Raw genomic sequence first — 19,878 nt, 5'->3', positions numbered from 1 at the left:
AGATGTCTTAGGTTTCAAATTCCTCTAGCATTCTTATTTTGCCTCCATGCTTGGATTTGCACTTCTTCATGTATTCTTCCTTAGAGAACATCTGCAGCTTGTACCTCTTAAGCTGCAACTCATTGTTCTTACGTTGGAGGCTTATTGGTGTTTTGATAACATGTGGTAGAAAGAAAGCATTTTACAGTCTCATGATTAAATCTTAGACGTTCAGTGGGCTATGTGTCTGGGCTTTGACCTTCATAAGTGTTTCTACAGTGGTATTTTCTTTTCCTTCTTAGATGAGACAGGAAAGCTAGCTTGGGGTAGAGGAGGAGTAATGCACTTCTCCTAGGTGAAATAGGCTCTGGAAAATGTTTTCCCCTAGAGAGTAAGCTTTGGCTTGGAAAATGCTCTGAGCATATTTCACAGTGGGTTACCTTCTGTTTTCATTGTTGGTGTCATAAGGGAATATTTCTAGAATCTTCACCATGAGAAATAAGAATTAGGTAGGGTTCTTGGAATTAATATCCAGGAAAGTATGGACGTGTTCCTAAGACTGTTCCTCCCTGAGGTTGTTCCATTATCATGTTTGTCTACACTCAGCCTCCAGCAACATACCAAAATTACCAACAAGTGTTCCTACCAAGTTATGTCTCTAGCAACTTCTGTCCTAGGTTAGTAGAGCTCAGCCATGAATCTGTGCATCCATCTGTCTCCAAGATTTCAAAGTGGAAGTTTACTATGCTACTTCAGTTCACTAATGGTTCCAAGTAAAATAACTGGTTTTCAGTTTTTTCTTGTTTAAGTACAGGCCTGACAACTTCCACGTTCCTTTTATATCTATGCTGCAATCAGAATTCTTGGATATTTATTTTGATTTGAGAAAACTTCCATAAAGACTATTGTTGTGGGATGTTCTAAAAGAAGATTATTAATTCATTTTTAAAAATAAAATGGCTGAGAAATACAGCAAGCTAGTCTTTAGCAGACTATTTAGGAGACGTACCAGGACTTTCAGTGTAATCTTAGTGTATGTTATCCATCGGCATTAAAAAAGTGTTCTGAAGTGACCAATAATAATCTATTATCAGAATATGGGTAAAAAAGTAGAGAAACATGACTTACTGTGAACACTATGCATTTGATAAACCTCATGTCCAAATAGTATGGGTTTAGAGATATCTAGAAAAACCATTATTAACACTGCACTTATTGACTAGGTGATTTTATGAAAAAAGTGAGTGTATTTGTCTTAATTTATAATAGTGGGAGGTGACAACCTGCTAGCGGCCCTTGCTTGCTCTGAGCACCTCCTCGGCCTCAGTGTCCGCTCTGGCCATGCTTGAGGAGCCCTTCAGCCCACCTCTGCGCTGTGGGAGCCCCTCTCTGAGTTGGCCGAGGCCAGAGCTGGCTCCTTCTGCTTGCGGGGAGGTATGGAGGGAGAAGCGCGGGCGGGAATCGGGGCTGTGTGTGGCGCTCGTGGGCCAGCGCGAGTTCCGTGTGGGCGCAGGCTCAATGGGCCCTGCACTTGGAGTGGCCAGCCGGTGCTGCCAGCTCCAGGCAGTGAGGGGCTTAGCACCTGGGCCAGCAGCTGCAGAGGGGGCGCCGGGTCCCCCAGCACTGCTGGCCTACCTGCAACACACTCGAATTCTCACCGGGCCTCAGCCACCTCCCCGCGGGGCAGGGCTCAGGACCTGCAGCCTGCCGTGCCGGAGCCCCAGGGTTGTGGGCTCCCACGCAGCCCCAGCCTCCCTGATGGGCACCGCCCCCTGCTTCACAGCACCTGGTCCCATCGACCACCCAAGGGCTGAGGAGTGCAGGCACCTGGCGTGGGACTGGAGGGCAGCTCCACCGGCGGCCCTGGCACTTGATCCACTAGGGAAAGCCACCTGGGCTCCTGAATTGGGTGGGGACTTGGAGAACTTTTATGTCTAGCCAGAGGATTGTATATGCACCAATCAGCACTCTGTGTCTAGCTCGGGGTTCGTGGATGCACCAATCAGCACTCTGTATCTAGCAAATCTGGTGGGGACTTGGAGAACTTTTGTGTCTAGCTAAAGGATTGTAAATGCACCAATCAACACTCTGTATCTAGCTCAAGGTTTGTAAACGCACCAATCAGCACCCTGTCAAAACAGACCAATCAGCTCTCTGTAAAAAGGACCAATTAGCTCTCTGTAAAATGGGCCAATCAGCAGGATGTGAGTGGGGTCAGATAAAGGAATAAAAGCAGGCTGCCCGAGCCAGCCCAGGCAGCCTGCTTGGGTTCCCTTCCGTGATGGGGAAGCTTTGCTTCTTTTGCTCTTTGCAATAAATCTTGCTGCTGCTTATTCTTTCGGTCTGCACCATCTTTATGAGCTGTAACTCTCACCGAGAAGGTCTGCAGCTTCACTCCTGAAGCCAGCGAGATCATGAATCCACCCACCAGGAGGGGCGAATAACTCTGGATGGGAGGAACGAACAACTCTGGACGTGCCACCTTTAGGAACTGTGACACTAAAGATGAAGGCCTGCAGCTTCACTACTGAGGCCAGCCAGACCATGAACCCACTGGAAAAAATGAACAATTGCAGACACACCATCTTTAAGAACTGTAACACTCACCGTGAGGGTCCGCGGCTTCATTCTTGAAGTCAGTGAGACCAAGAACCCACCAATTCTGGACACAATAGGACCAATGTAAGGACACATGTTTGTTCTTATACCATTCTTGCTGTATTTGTAAATTTTTGTTGCAGGAGAGGTGTGATTACCTTGGATATCTTGATAGTGGGACACTTTGAGAAGGCAAGAGTTAACCTGATCTTAGCTGACTTGGTGAATTGAATAAATCTTACCTTACTATCACAGGCAGATTGAGGCAAGGTTTGGGGTAGTAAGTTCAGTTTAGAAGGTTTATTTAGAATAAAATTCTGAAGTCCAAGCAACCTAATTGTTGTCTGTCATTATCAAAGACTTATTTTCTTATTTTTTACAACAAGCCTTCATAATTCTTCTGAGTGGGAGGGTTCTTGTCATAATAAATTTCAGAAGTCATTAGTTATGCACATATGTTTTTTTCCCTTTTACACACATAAAAATTGGTTTTGCCTCTCACAGAATTGATGCATAGAAGAGTAAACAGGATAAGAACAAGGAATGAAGACTAAGGAACACAAGTAACGTGTAATCTCTAGGGACTTCATAAGTGAGTGTGCAGGTTTAGAAAAATTTCAGCTCTTGGTGGAAAGCAAAATAAACTGATTCAAACTAATTGAAGTGAAGAGCAATTTTTCCGAGGAGACTGGAAAGATAATGTCATATATAGAAAACTTGAAGGTTATTAGAAATAAAGGACACAGATGATGGAGATGGCCAAGCTAGAATCTTAACTGATGCTTTTCTAGAGATTATTATACTCACTCCTGTTCAGTTTTCAAAGGTTCAGGTTGGAATATTATATTGGCTGACCTTAATCTACAGATTGATTGTGATATCTTGAAGATGGCCTTTCGTGACAATTCACACATATATCTCCCTCTCAATCTTAGATGTGCAAGAAATACAACTTTTCAACATTTTCTGTAATTCAAGTTATTTTGTACGTTAAGGTCTCATTCAGATGAATTAACAAGAATAATCTCAGTGTTAATGAGCTTTTTACCACTCTTTTGCCTCTTACAATATTTATGGTTATGGTGCAACTAAGTAGGGACAGATTATGAAGGAATTCCCACCTTATTCTCAGTTTTGTCTGGTTCACGCTCATAATTAATGAGTTTGTCCATCACATTTTATTTCTGGCACTGGTTCAACAACGTAATTTGTGTAACTGAGCTTTCATTCTCCACTGGCAAGCTTCTTCAGTATTGTCATTGGCTCTGTCTGATCCTTACTGGTTCTTGAGAAATTTTCTGTAGTCTTGTAAGTCTAGTGATAATTGAATGCCATCATTATGGGAAGACAGCATTCTGTTCTTCATTGCTCTGAATTGAGAGTATCATTGCAAAGCTTTGCACAACCTATGTTTCCTGGGTAAACTGCCATCCTCTTTTCTCTCGTGCTTTATTGTTTTCTGTGGGTTCTGCCTAAGATGTAAGGAAAAAAGTCATTTCTAATTCTAGATCTCATTTTAAGAGTTTTGGCAAAACAAACTCGCCTATATTAATTATAGTAATAGTTATTACAATAACCTACCTAATAACATGTATAAAAGTTAATTTTTGATCATTATATTAATATTTCAAAATGATTTAAATCTTCTTGATGGATAATGTGCACTTGAGAGAAATCTGAAATAAAAGGTAAATATAGGTTTCTTAGAATTTGTCAGTAAGAGACACATTTTAACTTACATAATCCCAGGATCATTTTCAGCATTCCCATTTTTTAATGTGTGAATATAGGTACAGACACTATGAGTAACAACAACAGTTGGAAGTAATCCAACTGTTTCTCACTAATGAAAAAGATAAATACAATTAGTTTATAATGCATGTACTAAATTGTAGCAATCAAAATCAACAAATATATTTCCACAATAATATATATGTTTAAAATAATATTAAAGAAAAAGTAAATTTTTGAAGAATTTAAGGATTCAAAATAGATTAAAAAACAAATATATTACATATAGTTTATGTAAATAGCTATTTTATATAAAACATTTAAAAATCAAATTTGCTAGCATTTTAAGATTTTTGAAAACTTTTTTGTAAGTAATATTGTATAATGTATTTCATTTTACTGTCTTTTATAGTTTGGTTTTGGTGTTATAGTAACTCTGTTGAAACAGTTGTTGAACAGTTCATCTTTCGTGTTTTTTGTTTTTTGATTTTTTTGTTTCGCTCTGTTTTTGAGGCAGAGCCTTGCTCTGTCACCCAAGCTGGAGTGCAATGGCATGATCTTGGCTCACTGCAACCTCCGCCTCCCAGGTTCAAGAGATGCTTGTGCCTCAGCCTCTCACGTAGCTGGGACTACAGGTGTGCACTACCATGCTTGACTAATTTTTGTATTTTTAGTAGACACAGGGTTTTGTCATGTTGGCCAGTCTGGTCCTGAGCTCTCAGCCTCAAGTGATCCACCCGCCTCGGCCTCCCAAAGTGCTGCAATTACAGGAGTGAGCCGCCACGCCCGGCCAAAAAGCTTCTATATCACCAGATATAGAATGATAGATTGCAAAGAAAAAAATACTAAATCCGTGATTATATCTGGATTAGAAAAGAGGAAATTTGGATCAGAGAAGATTGTCTTGCAGATGAAGAAAACTATGGTCATTTATATACATAAATACTAAATTTCTCCTGAAAAATATATATTTAAAACTGTATTATTAAAGTTACAATATTTGATAATATTTGTCAAAGTTAAATCTGGAGCCACATTATATTAGATTCAGATCCTTTTTTCTTTGAAATATTTCATGACATATGAGAAGTAAATGTTAATTGTTAAAGTAGAAATGGCAAATATGCACTCCATAACCTTATCTAGGAAGGAAATGAGAGGCTTCAAACTAAAATTGGATACAGGATCAAGGGAGAACATTTGTGTGAATCAGGAGACATTTAAGCATATTTAAGAGAAGAGGGGCTGGAACTTACAAAGACAAAATAGTTGTAGTAGAGAAGAGACGTGAAGACAAGACGTGCTTATTGATTGTCTAGCTTGGGAGATTCATCATGGTTAGTTGAATTGCATATGACAGTGGCCTACAGTTTTCACAGTAAAGACAGTGGAAAGGTTCAAAAATGAATTTTGGAACTTTTGGTATCCCTCAGGAATAGGCAAGGAAGGGAAGGGAGATATTCTAGTAAGGAAAAGTACATTTCTGTGAAGGCCAGCACTGTGAAATCCACACTGAGAGGCTTGTGGGATTCTCTGGGTGGTTATATTAGCTCATGAGTGACAGGAATGAGGCTGGAATTTTAAGTGTGCACTTCCTACCCAGGTGTAGCTTTGAGGCAAGAAATAAGGAAAGCAGCGTTTGGGTAAAGAAATGAAAGGAAAAGTTTAGAATCAGGACCCATCCATCCCTAAAAGAGGCACTCACTGTCACTCTGTGGTCACCTGAACCAGCCCTTTTTGTTCAGGTGTTACTTTGATATTATTCCTGAGGAGGTGCATTATCAAAAAGCATGAGGATTACTTTCAATTTCCCAGTCCTTAGCTTCATTTCAAGAAAACATATTGCCATGGTGTCTGGAAGGGAAAATATTATATTAAGGTCGGGAACATTTAGGAACTGTCAGAGGCCTTCTGAAACAACTAATTTTTGGAACTGGTTTCTAGACACTTTTTTTTTTTTTTTTTTTTGCAGGCCCTGACTACAAATTATTCTGTGTAATTATTGTAGGAAATTAATCTCAGACTGTTAGAGATGATGTGTGAGATACTTTACAATTAAAAAGAGGCCTTCCTAGCAGACAAAAAAAAAATGAGTTAAGTACTTTAGGTCAGTATACAGTGTTGCCAAGGGGAATGTGTGAAAAAATGTGATTGAGAGGTGGTAATGGTAGTAACAGATGGTGGTAGTGCTGAGACTGCGTGTATTGAAGATCAGTGAGTAAGTGGCTAAAATAATCACAGTGGAAATACACTGAATTACATTAGTGAAATCAGAATGTAAAACGTATACTAGATATATTTTAGAACCATATTCCAAAATTATCATTACTCTAGTTAGCTTATATTTGAAATAATTGTAAAGTCTCAAATTGTTAAAAAAAATTGTTTAAGAATTATAATGCACAGCAAAGTAAGAAATATACTAAAACTTTTTTCTCTTTCTTAAGAATAGCTTCATGCTATTTTAATGAAGATGGATCTGATCTAACCCTTTTTTGGGGCCAACTACGTACAATACAATTTTTAGAAGACAGTAAAAATAGGAAACACTACATACTTTATATAGAAATTTAAGTGTTATGATAGAGGTAAAAACCATAATTCAGCAGAGATTAGAGGAGTGATAGATATTAATTTTGATTGAGAAACTGAAAGATATACATGGATCTTTTTTAGGAATTGCCAAGCTGATTCAAAAATTTATATGGTATTGTAAGAGATCTAGAAAGCTAATTCAGTTTTAGAAATAAGAAAACAGAGTTGGAGGACTTCTACTTTCAAAACTTACAATAAAGATATAGTTAATTAGGCAGAGTGTTATTTTTATAATATAGAAATTTAGATTAATGGAAAAGAAATTATCCTACCTGTGGTCAGTTTATTTTTAACAAAAATACAAGGTAATTTAATAGGAAAAAAAGTCTTTTTTACAACTAGATTTGGAACAACTGATAATCTGTATGGAAAATAAATTAGCCTCGATCTTTACCTTATACCACCTATAATATTAAATTTGATCATATACTTATGTGTTAAATTTAAAACTCTAAGCTTTTTAGAAGAAAAATAACAGACTATATTCCACTATGATTTACAGAAACTAAATTGATCCCAATAAGCACAATAGACATTGTGTGGAATGACATTTGTTGACGGGATGCTACCATTTCTACTTTCAAGGAAACATAACACATCCTTGCTAAACAAACACACCTTTCCTGTTACCAGTGTACATAGAAAATCCAAAAGAAAAAAATAAGAAAACTGTGTGGTAAACATGGAATGAAATCAATAAAATTTTTCAATGTTCTTTGGAAATATGTCTGTAAAAGGTCCTAATACATGATCCCTCTTTACAAAGAAAATACTGAAAACAACTTTTTCACAGTCTTCAAACTGGATATGTTTTGGTCTGAATAAGGCAATCTAGTGCATTTGTTTAACTTCAAATAATAACCAAAGTTTATTTAATTTGTTCTATAATTCACTAAGATAGACTCCTCAAAAACCAGTTATTTCTCCAACTTCAATCTGGCAATATTTTCCCATCTTTAAGTAATAAATTCAATTATCTTATCAATGATCTCACTGGCTTTATCTTGGATTCATCACTCTCTCCTTCTTTGCAATCCCATAGTACTCTGGAAAGTCTATATCCTATGGTTGATTTCCATAGCCTTCAGGATAAATCTTAACTGACACTGTCATTTAAGAAACTTCTTCACTTGGAGCAGCTAACGTCTCTAAGCATTTTTTTTTCCTGCCAAGGCTTTCACCTGTATTTCTCCATGCTCTATCTGACACACCTAAAGAGGCTGTCTTGGGATACTAGGAGCCCCTTTCATGGATTATCAGAGCGCATCAGAGGCTCCTTTCCTAAATGCACATATCGGAAGCATAAAGATGTCTTTAAGCCATCTGGACCTACAATTTTCTTTTCTTTGTGGTTGTGGGAGTCAAAACAGTGTCCTCTATCCTCTGGTGTTACTCCTGTGAATATGTTACATTAAATAACACAACGGACTTTACAGATCTTATTAAGGTGACTAAAGAGTTTACCTTTTTATTGGGGTGAGTCTGATATAATCACATGAACCTTTAAAAGCAGAAAGCAGCTATATAAAAGGAAGTCAGGGAGATTCAAAGTATGAGAAGGATTTTATATTTCCATGCTGACTTTGAAGATGGAGGGGACCACAAGTCAAAGAATGTGGGTGACAATGACCTCTCACTGACCTGTGAAAGCTGAGAATGACCTCTCACTGACATCTAGCAAGGAAACAGGAACTTCAGACCTACAATGCCACAGAACAGAATTCCACCAACAAACTAAATGCACACACAATGCGATTGATTGTTCCCCAGAGTCTCCAGACAAGAACTTAGTCAGTTGACACCTTGATTTAGGTATTGTGAGACCCGAAGAGAGTACAAGCAGAGGCTGCCCGGACTTCTGAATTGTAGAACTGTCAGATAATAAGTGGGTACTGTTTTAAGCCACTAAGTCTGTAGTAATTTGTTACAGCAAAGATAGAAAAATACAGTGGGAATATTTAATTCTGAATTCAATGTCTTTTAGCACGGGGCTATTCAGATTTTCTTTTTTCTTGATTCAATTTAAATAGGTTATTTAAACTATTTGACACATTTACCTAAGTTGTTGAATGTATTGACATAACATTTTTCTTTCTATTAAATTGTGTAGGACAGCAGTCCCCAAACTTTTTGGCACCAGGGACCAGTTTCTGTGAAGACAATTTTTCCACAGATGGGGAGTGAGGATAGTTTTGGGATGGGATGAAGCTGTTTCACCTCAGCGCATTAGATCCTTTTTTCTTTTCTTTCTTTTTTTTTCTTTGACGGAATCTCACTCTGTCGCCAGGCTGGAGTGCAGTGGCGTGATCTCGGCTCAGTACAACCTCCGCCTCCCTGGTTCAAACGATTCTTCTGCTTCAACCTCCTGAGTAGCTGGGACTACATGTGTGCACCACCACGCCCAGCTAATTTTTGTATTTTTAGTAGAGACGGGGTTTCACCATGTTGGCCAGGCCATTATCTCGACCTTGTGATCCACCCACCTTGGCCTCCCAAAGTGCTGGGATTACAGGCATGAGCCACCGTGCCCAGCCAGCATTAGATTCTTATAAGGAGCATGCAACCTAGATCCATCACATGTGCGGTTCACAATAGGGTTCGCTTTCCTATGAGAATCTAGTGATACAGCTCATCTAACAGGAGGTGGAGCTCAAGCAGAAATGCTCACCCTCCCGCTGCTCACCTCGTTCTGTGCAGCCTGGTTCCTAACAGGCCATGGACCAATACCAGTCCTTGGGTCCAGGGGTTGGTGACCCCAGGTGTAGGATATGTATTGATGTTTCCTCTCTTATTCCATATGTTAATTTATGTCTATTTCTTCTTGGTTGGTATAAACATTTATCATCTTGATCTTTTCAAATAAACTATTTTTGGTTTTACTGATATTATATTATGTTTTACATTTTCTTTTTCATTAGTTTCACAATTATTTTTAGTATTTCTTACTATATATTCACTTTGAGTTTATGTTGCTGTCCTTTTTCTAACTTCTTAAGGTAGAACCTTAGTTAAGTGATTTTTAACTTTTCTTCTTTTCTAATATAAACATTTAAAGGTCCAAAATGTCCTCAACAATTGCTTTAGTTGTGTCTCACATATTTTGATATAATGTATTTTATTTACTTATTTTCAAATTTCTACCCATAATTTACATAAAATCCATTGCTTAATTTTTAATCATTTGGACTATTCCAGATACCTTTCCATTATTGGTATCTAATTTAAATCCAGTGACGAAAGATAACATATGCTATGTAATTTCAGTCCTCTTAAGTATATTAAGGGTTGTTTTATTGTCCAATATATAATCTATCTTGGTGAATATCCGTTTGAACTTGAAAAAGATGTATACTCTGCAGTTTCTTTGTCCGTATGTGTGTGTGTCGTTCTGTAAATATAAATTAAGTGTTATTGGTGGACACTGTTGTTCAAGTCTCTTATATCTTTTTTGATTTTGTGTCTACTGTCAATTACTAAAACGTAAGTGTTGAAATCTCCACCGGTAATTGTGGATTTATCTATTCTCTTCTTAGCTTTGTCAAGATTTGTGTAAGTATTTTAAAGCTCTTTCATCTTTATCGTTGTTATTTCCTTTTGATGAATTTACCCATGAAATTTCTCTCTATTTCTGGTAAGGTTTCATGTTTGGAAGTTTACCTGGTCTCATTGTAACATAGGCACGTCAGTTTTTATGTCTGTGATTTGCATAATATAGCTCTTCCTCTCATACTAATTTTAATCTATCTTTCTATACAAGATATAATTTATTCTTATATTTAAATGACTTTCATGTTGACAGCATATAGTTGGATCTTGCTTTTTTACGCAGTCTTACAATGTATTTATTTAAATTGGTAAGCTTAGCCCTTTTATATTTAATTATTAATATGGTTGGGCTTAGTTCTTCCATTTTGCTACTTAATTTGTAATCATTAAATCCTTTCCCTCTTTGTTTTCTAGTTTCTTTTAAATAATAGAGAACTTTTCAGCATTCCACTTTATCTCTTCTAGTTAGATATCTATTATTATTTAATAAAACAATGAATTTACAGTATATTTTTTAAACTTTTACATCTCTTAAATATCATTTTATAGATTAATATATTTTTAACACCTTTAGAACTATGTATTTCCATTTCTCCCCTGTAATCCTTTTTGCTATTATAATTATACCTTTTACTTTTCTATATACCACAATGCAATACAGTAATAATATTTTGCTGTAAACCATCAAAGAAAATAAGATAAAATTTTATTTCACAAAAATAAGATAAAATTTTAAAAATAAAGTAAATAAAAAATAAGATAATGTCTTTTATTTTTTCCTACATGTTTTCAATTTCTAGTTTCCTTTATTTAGGTAAATCCACATTGCTATCTGTTACCATTTTTATTTGGTCTAAAATATTTATCTTGTGTTATAGTATAAGTTTGCTAGTAATGCATACTCTCAAATATAATTGTCTTTAAATTTCACCTTTTTAAAAAGTATATTTTTCCTTGATTAAAAAATTTAGTTTAGCATACTTTTTTTTCTTGTGTCATAAAGCTGCTTAACAGTCATGCAATTTGCACAGATTATGCATTCATTCTGCTATCATTAATTTTAATCATTCTTCTTTTGTTTATAATGTCTCTCCCCACTTCCTTGGTGATTTTTATGTTATTCTCTTTATAGCTGTTTTCTTGTCACCTAATGATACATCTTGTGTGTGTGTGTGTGTGTGTGTGTGTGTGTGAGAGAGAGAGAGAGAGAGAAATAGGTGATTACAGTAGTTCCCTCTTATCTGCAGTTTTGATTGTGTGATTCTGGTTACTTGAAGCCAACAGCAGTCCAAAAGGAGCTAAGTAAAGTATAGTAAGATATTTTGAGAGAGACTGACCACATTCACAGACATTCTATTATAGTATATTGTTATAATAGTTTTATTATATTGGTGACTATTATTAATCTCTTACTGTGCCTAATTAATAAAATGAACTTTATTATAGGTATGTGCAGTAAGTACAGAACAAAACATAGTATATATAGGGTTTGGTACTATCTATGGTTTCAGGCATCCACTGAGAGTCTTAGAATGTATCCCTTGCAGATAAGCGGGCACTTCTGTATTTATTCTGCTTAGATCTGTTCATCTTTAAACAGTAGTCTTGTAGTGTTTATCATATTTTGAAAACATACCGTAATTTTACAATTGTTATGACTCTATTCATTATCTATTGTTTCCCTCTGTTTCATTTTGGATAGTCTTTGTTTTCTGTTTTCAATGTCAATAATTTTATTTCTTCTGCATTAATTTGCTGTCAATTCCATCCACAGAAATTTTACCTTAGCTATTAATTTTAATGTCTAGAATTGCTATTTGAGTGTCCATTTGTTTCATTATTATATTCATGTTTTCCTTTGACTAGTTGAACATTTGTAAAATAGTTATAACCTTTTTAAGATTACTTCCTATGACTTCCATCACATCTGTCATTTTTTTGTTTCCTAGAAATAAAATATTTGTCACATTTTCTTCTTTTTTACATGCCTTGTAATTTTTTATTGTTTTATCTAAAATGCTAATTGTACATTGTTGACATGAGTCTCGATTCTGTTGTATTACTTTAAAGATTGTTGGAGACATTATTCTAGAAGGCAGTTAATTTATTTACAAGTCTGTTTGATTCTTTGAGGAATTGCTGTTTAGGCTCTTTATGTTGGATGCACAGCAAAAGCCTTTCACAGACAGTTAGTGTAACATAATTAATGATATGTATTGGCTTTTCATTTCCCTACTTCCTTAGTAATTTCATGTGATAACTAAGATATTTTTTCATCACCATGAGAGGAAAGTGAATTCCAAATATTTCCATTTCTTACAGGAAGGGGAACATCACACACCAGGGCCTGTTGTGGGGTAGGGGGAGGGAGGAGGGGGGAAGGGGGAGGGATAGCATTTGGAGATATACCTAATGTTAAATGACGAGTTACTGGGTGCAGCACACCAACATGGCACATGTATACATATGTAACTAACCTGCACATTGTGCACATGTACCCTAAAACTTAAAGTATAATAAAAAAAAAGAAAATTCTAAATTTTTTTAGTGTTCCAAATGCAAATAAGGCTTGCAGTGATAAAGATGTGTGACTACAGTTTGTAATGTTTCATTATGTATATTAGAATTAGTGTCCTTTCCATACACTCCCAATATGCTTGGGGTATGGGAGATTGTTAAATCTCAAACTGAAAAGGCAAGTAAGCAGTATTCACTTCTATCATAATGCCCTAAAGTCACTGGAATAAATAAAATGGTATTTCAGTTCTGAATTCCTTTTCTTGAAAAAAATGTAAAAAGTGCTAATGGGTTTTGCAATGCATGTTCTACATTAAGAAATACTCTCCCAATGTCTTCAGAACTCCTGTATCATCACAGGTAGACATTTTTACTCCATCATATTATGGGGGCCACTTGGAAGACTCAGAGATCTCTTAAGACTGCAGACCCAAGGATACTTCACCAGCTTAACCGTCAGTCACAGTTTGACCAAGAGACTCCCAGGTTTAGCAAGATTATCTTGTTCATGCCTGTTATCAAAGCATGATTGTTAATCACATACCTTTACACTCTCAAATGTGTCCTAGTTATAATAATAAAAGCAAATGGTCACTGTAACTGAAACAGTCTGGGACATATAAGAATTTGGGGTGTCTGAATTGAGATGAATAAATCTAAGAAATTTACAGAACACAGTAAATGCGTCGGAAAATTTTCTCTCTTTTTTTTTTTTTTTTTTGAGACGGAGTCTTGCTCTGTCACCCAGGCTGGAGTGCAGTGATGCGATCTCAGTTCATTGCAACCTCTGCCCCCCAGGTTCAAGCGATTCTTCTGCCTCAGCCTCCTGAGTAGCTAGGACTGCAGGCGTGTGCCACCACATCTGGCTAATTTTTGTATTTTTAGTAGGGACAGGGTTTCACTACGTTGACCAGTCTGGTCTAGAACTCCTGTTCTCAGGTGATCTGACCCCGTCAGCCGACCAAAGTGCTGGGATTACAGGCGTGAGACACCGCGCCCGGCCAGAAAATATTTTTTCTTGAACAGGTTTCTGTATCCTTAGATTTATCCTCCATTCTTCTTGAGCTTTACATATTTTCAACATTAAGTGCTACTTTTTTATTTTATGAAAAAAGAAGTATAAGGAACAAACATTTTAGTACAGTATATTCTCTTAATAGCAATCTTTAAATTGTTTAGAGACAAAAATCTCTAACAATATTAATAGCCAGAATTTAACCTTCTTAAGTATAAGAACTAAACTTCACACCAATAATATATAGAATATTTTTAGTTGAAATTGTAGGGAAGTCCCCATAAAAGTCAAGATTCTAAAACAATACAGTTAAGCAACCACAAGGGAGCATCTTGAAGCAGAGAGAAGTGTGGATTCTACAGCCAGAAAACCTGGTTTAGAATCATGCTCTGCCACTTTAAAATGGTGTAATGGACAAGAGAGTAAGCCCCTCTGAAGGTACGTTTTCTTATCTGTAAATGAAAATAATTTTTAAAAATCAACCTAATAGGACTTCTGTACATATTCAATGCGTTGATACTTGAAAAGAGTTTGTAAAAATGCTTTGAACATAGCACAAAGTATGTGTTTGTTAAAAATAAATAGCAATAAAGAGGGTTATCTACCCATAATAACCCAATAAGATAGATTCCCCCCTCTCATTGTATTTTTCTTTATATTTATATGCAGATCAATTCACTATTTAAAGAAGCCTGAGTCATTTTGCCCTGTGACGCGGTTGCTTAGCTTATTCGAGGACCTGGCAAAACACCAGTTACCAATCAATGTAAACTGCTGAAAATAAAGTCTCAAAAGCTAGAGCTAGGTTTGGTGTTCTGTCTCCTCTGCCATCTCAGGACAATGAAGTGTAGTGAGGGGCCAGCCGATGTCTTAAGATTGACAAGTTTCTGATATTTTTACTTATTTATTTTATCCTGAAAGCAAACATAAGATTTCAGAATTAAAGGCACACTATGATTACTATACTTACAGAAATAACCACATGCAACATTCCCTATGCATCTTTCTTCCCTCAGAATGATGAGATGAGTGCCACATGGATCTGTGCATGCAGAAAGATTGTTGCACCGAAGAAGAGGAACTCCAAATTAAAAATTTAGGAGTTATACAGGGACTGCAGCTTCCTTTCTCTTCTCCTGAAAAAAGAAGAGAAACCATATTTCCCTAAGACAGGTAAATCTTCTGTGGGGAGAGAAGAGGAATTTAAAGGAATGTCTCTGAGTTGTATCTCCCTTCATAACATGAAACATAGCTCTAAGGGGAGCTGAATACTCTGAATTTTGCTGAAGGTCTCTTGCTCTCTGCGGGTTGCTATTCAGTTTTAATCTCCAGAGTTGCCCTTCCAGTCTGCTCTCAGTTTATTTGCTCAGAAAACCCTAACCATGCAGAAATGTGGACATATGTCTTCAACAATTCCACAAAATTCTCTCATAGCACTACATTTTCTATGATGAATATTCTCTTTACATGTTAACACATGACCATAGAACTGGGAACATAAATCTTCAAAATCACTTCACCTAGCATTAATTTCTAGAAGTGTTTTGGAGATCTGTTTTCAATAACTTATATGAGATGTAGATAGATACCAGATTTGTTATGTGTTTCTTAATATTTCTGGGGTCTCATATCCCATCTTCAAGATATCTTATTTTGCCAAATGACCCTGCAACCCTTTCTGTGTTTACCCATTTTTTTGAATAAATAGTAAATGGTTCTAACATGATTGTATATTAAGATTGGGACACATTTGATGACCTTTGAGAGAGTTGTAAGCATGGAAATACGGAGATTCTATGGACTGTGGTGAGGAGTCGTCACTTTGAACCAGAAGAAATTCCAGTTGTAGCTGAACCCACCAAACCTTAGAGTGAGAGAAGCATGTAGCTATTGTTTGAATGTATATAGGAAATTCCTTTTTGTAGTAGGGGATATCTGAGTTTTTTTTTATCCTAAAAGGTAATAGCAAAGAGTAAGAATGTCAGGATAGTTGATAAATAAATCAAAATATAGAGGGGAAAGGGAGTAAATAAAATGGGTAAAAGTGAGTGGAAAATGCATAATCATAATGTGTTAAGTAAGTTATTAGCTTGAAGGTTTAAAATATAGTCCAAGGTATATTTGGAACCTAAATTATAGAAAATTGAGATTTGAGGACCCATCCAACCTCCTCTCCACAATCCTTCAGATGTTTACTAACTTTATCTGAGGGTAGAGAATAAGCAGACACATCTTTAGGTGCTCAGAATGGAAGATTTATAGTGGTGGTTCCTATCATACCACAGGCACGATCCTGGATTTTTCCACTCACGTTTATTCCCTCATTTAATAAAAATAAATATTATCTGATCCCTTCCTCTTCTTTTGCACTGATACTCAGATAACATTTTTTAAGCTACAACCTCCAAATTCCCAGATAGCCTAAAAAGTCTTCTAATCTGTCTTCCTGTCTGTGATTTCTCACCTGTCCATTATATCCCCATTCTGCTACCCCCAAATATTGCGTAAAATTCAATTTAAGATCCTCCCCAATGATATTCTATTGCAAATATATTTCTCAACACAATAGCAACCTGTTAAATTTTATGCATTTGTGTGTGTGTGTGTGTGTGTGTGTGAGAGAGAGAGAGAGACAGAGACAGAGAGAGAATAAGTAGCATAGTTTGCCTGAAAGTCTTATATTCACATGGAAATCAAAATATCTAAACCAGAACTTATCCTTTTCCTTCAGTTTTGTTTTTTTCTCCTGTGTTGTCTTGTTGAGGGCAGGACAGCTCTATACTTTCTGCGCTAAATTCGAAATGTAGCAACAATTATTATGTCCTTTTACTTCTCTTTTTATATTTTTCAATCAAAAAGTCCTAATGAATCCACTTTCTAAATAATTCTGTAATTAATAGGCGTCTTCTTGAATCTACAATTCAAATATTCCAGACAAAATTTGTCACTACTCTGGTCTGACACAATAGCATTCTAATTGAAGACATTGCTTGTGTTTCTCTTAGAATACAGGACAAATAATTTCACATGAATTTAAGAGACAACCAATATTTATCAGATTGTTTTGGAAGCATCAGATTCTACTACATATTCTTTCAAGTCTTCACACTTCAACAATTTCATGTCCTGTTTCTTTTTATGCCTAATATGCTGCTCTAATGTCTCTCACAGATTATTTCATCTGAGTAATTCATATTTATATTTCAAATCTCAATTGAAATTTCCATTTTTAAAGATCTTTCCTGACAGAGGTTCCTTATTTAATAACATTTATTAAAATTAAAATAACAGGAGTTTCTAGCATTCTCATGAATTTATGTCGTCAAATTAAATTTCTTTTTTCTGAAAAATGAATATACCCTTGAAGTTAAGGCCCACCTGAGTTGAAGCACTTTCTAAGTCCTTTCCTTACCTCATATGACTACAGGTAGATAAGATCTTTGCTAAGTTTGAAACAGTGAAAATTCCAGATGGGCACTGTGTTTTGAAAAGTGAACAGAAGCATACAGAGAAGTGATTGTGACTGGAGCAAATTACTAATTCATAAAGAGGATTTAATTCCAATTCACTATTAATGCAGTTAGGCAGACTGCCTCAGAGATGCTGCAAATAACTTAAGCTGGTGCTTCCTGAGCTTTAATGTGCATATAAATTACCTGAGAGGCTTGTCAAAATATGGACTCTGATTCTATAGATCTGGGGTGAAGTCTGAGATTCCGCATTTCTAACAAATTTCCAAGTTAAGTTAATGCTGCTGGCTATCATATTATACTGAGGCTTGAGTAGTAAAATCTTAAACTGCATTTCTTGGGAGGGGAAAGGCAATATATAATCTGTTTTGAGAGGAGTGTAACTTAAAAGGATAGTGACTTTTATACTGGTTAAGGCTGCTTTTCTTACAAGAATATTTGAAAAAACTTATGCTAGGATAAGAAGTTTATAGAAATCCTCCAAATATATAGAATTTTTCTGCAGATTGAATGTGAAACATATTCAATCATGAAAATAAACACACTAAATGTGTATATAAAGACAAAAGATTACAGAGAAACAAGAGGTGAGAAACACAATTATTAAAGATGTATTAGGGATATTGGGAAGGCAATGCCCCTTACAAAAAATGGTAAGAATAGAAAGATTAGCCAAGAAATTAGGATTCAATGGTGTCTAATTTATTGTCAGTTTCTGATATGCAGTAAAGTTAAGATGAAGAGTTTCATTTGAAAAAAAAAAAATTAGCCACAGTGAGTCATTGCCAGCTCATGGATGTCATAAGAAAACTACAACTATAGGAAATATTAGTAAGTTTTCAATAAACACAGTGACTGTAGTAAAGAGAAACTAATGGTGGAAAAAATATGTACCAATTATAATCAGCAAACAGAAACTATCCACTCTACTCACCCAACACGTATACAGTTTGACCTTTGAGAACTGAAACTATCTATTCCCATACACAACTATGCTACCTATACTAAGACTTCATTCTTTTACCTTCTTTAGCATAACTTCAGTATTTCAGGAGACTTTTCCAGGCAAATAACTTGGTTGTTCACTTCTTAAAAGGCGCATCAACTTTTCCACAGAAAGAAAACTTTGGCTTGTATTATCCGCTGTTTGAATCTCAAAATTCTCACCTTGCTGTGTCCATCAACAGTAAATTGTTACATCATAATTCTTATTCAACCTTAATCAAGCCCCTGAATTAAAAGTCTTACAATAAACTTTCAATCCCTAAAATTCTTATCCTGTATTTCTCCCTCTGAGACACTACTAAAAGTGTTTGAGTTATCAAAGTAAACAATAACAGAGCTTTTGCTTATCATCAGCATGTTATATTGTGTTATTTAGGGAGATGGAATTCAACAAACCAAACCCATGTGAAGGAAGAACAAATAAGGGGAAAGTGAAAAAGACTGAATAGAATGATCGAAGAGCAGAAGACAGATTATAGACATATTTTTAAAATTAAACTGTGTTACAGGACTTTTCCTTAGTTCTGCTAAAGACGAGGTCCTTGTCCAACAGCCACGAAAATTCAGGCTCACAGACAATTTGAATGGTGAGTAATACAGGGTTTTATTGGGTGAAAAGTAAGAAACGGAAGAAACAGGGACTGTCAGCAAGGCCAGAATCCCTGCTAGAGCACTTCCTTCCTCACTATATGAATTCCTGGTTTCACACAGGAAGAGGAGGGGCCAGGCTCCTCCCAGCCACAAAGGGCATAAATTTTCCAAGGCTCCACCCCAGCACACAGGCTGGTTGGAGTTTTGCCAGGGACCCCCTCCCAGCTGGCTGTCTCAATTGCATTATCACTGGGATATAGGAGAGCACAGGGACAAAGTGCAGGAATCCTCTAACAGTAGGCTAAATTAATGGGAACCAAATCCCAATTACGCTCTATATTTTAAGAAGTTGACTGTGCCGTCAAAAAATTTCTTGGAGTCCTTGGCTAATTAATTCAAAGGACATGAGTCGATTTGCTTTTTTAAAGCTATCTTAAGCTACTTTATGTACTTTAAATTTTGATTGTAAAGATTATAGTCAGCTGAGTTTTGGTGAAAGTTTGTAAAGGAGCAACTGTCAATACCTCCAGGCAAAGACCACCAGGAATGTACCTATAGTTGAACAAGTTGGATTTTACACCCTATGGGGATTTACGAGGTGTCTGGGTAGCAGACTATTAAAAAGCTCTTATAGAAGTTGGTTTGCACTAGGTTACTTTGTGTAGATTTTAAAAAAACAAGGCTTTGTTCTGGATTGGATGCTGTCAGGAAGCAGAGGTAGTTTTATTCTTGCGCATGTTTAACCTTAAATAACAGAAGGAAATATTTGACTGGAGGAACAAAAGGAATGAGGATAAGGATATCATTGAGCAGTCACTCCTATTAGTCAAG

At 36.1% G+C, this 19,878-nt stretch overlaps 1 long non-coding RNA gene across 2 annotated transcripts; it reads right to left on the bottom strand.

Annotated features, from left to right (window-relative positions):
* Positions 1-3,732: 3,732 nt before the first annotated feature.
* On the bottom strand, positions 3,733-18,607 carry LOC105375707 (uncharacterized). 2 transcript variants are annotated; one of them, NR_188052.1, is made up of 4 exons: positions 18,476-18,607; positions 14,952-15,117; positions 4,159-4,253; positions 3,733-4,049 (listed from the first exon to the last, which is right to left on the bottom strand). It is a non-coding gene; the product is annotated as an uncharacterized LOC105375707 (long non-coding RNA). The 2 variants fall into 2 exon arrangements; NR_188053.1 differs by lacking the exon at positions 4,159-4,253.
* Positions 18,608-19,878: the final 1,271 nt, after the last annotated feature.

The sequence above is a fragment of the Homo sapiens genome, chromosome 8 (assembly GCF_000001405.40).
Source record: "Homo sapiens chromosome 8, GRCh38.p14 Primary Assembly".
NCBI lineage: Eukaryota > Metazoa > Chordata > Mammalia > Primates > Hominidae > Homo > Homo sapiens.
Note: the sequence above shows the minus strand (reverse complement) of the source record. Positions and strands in the feature narration are given on the sequence as shown.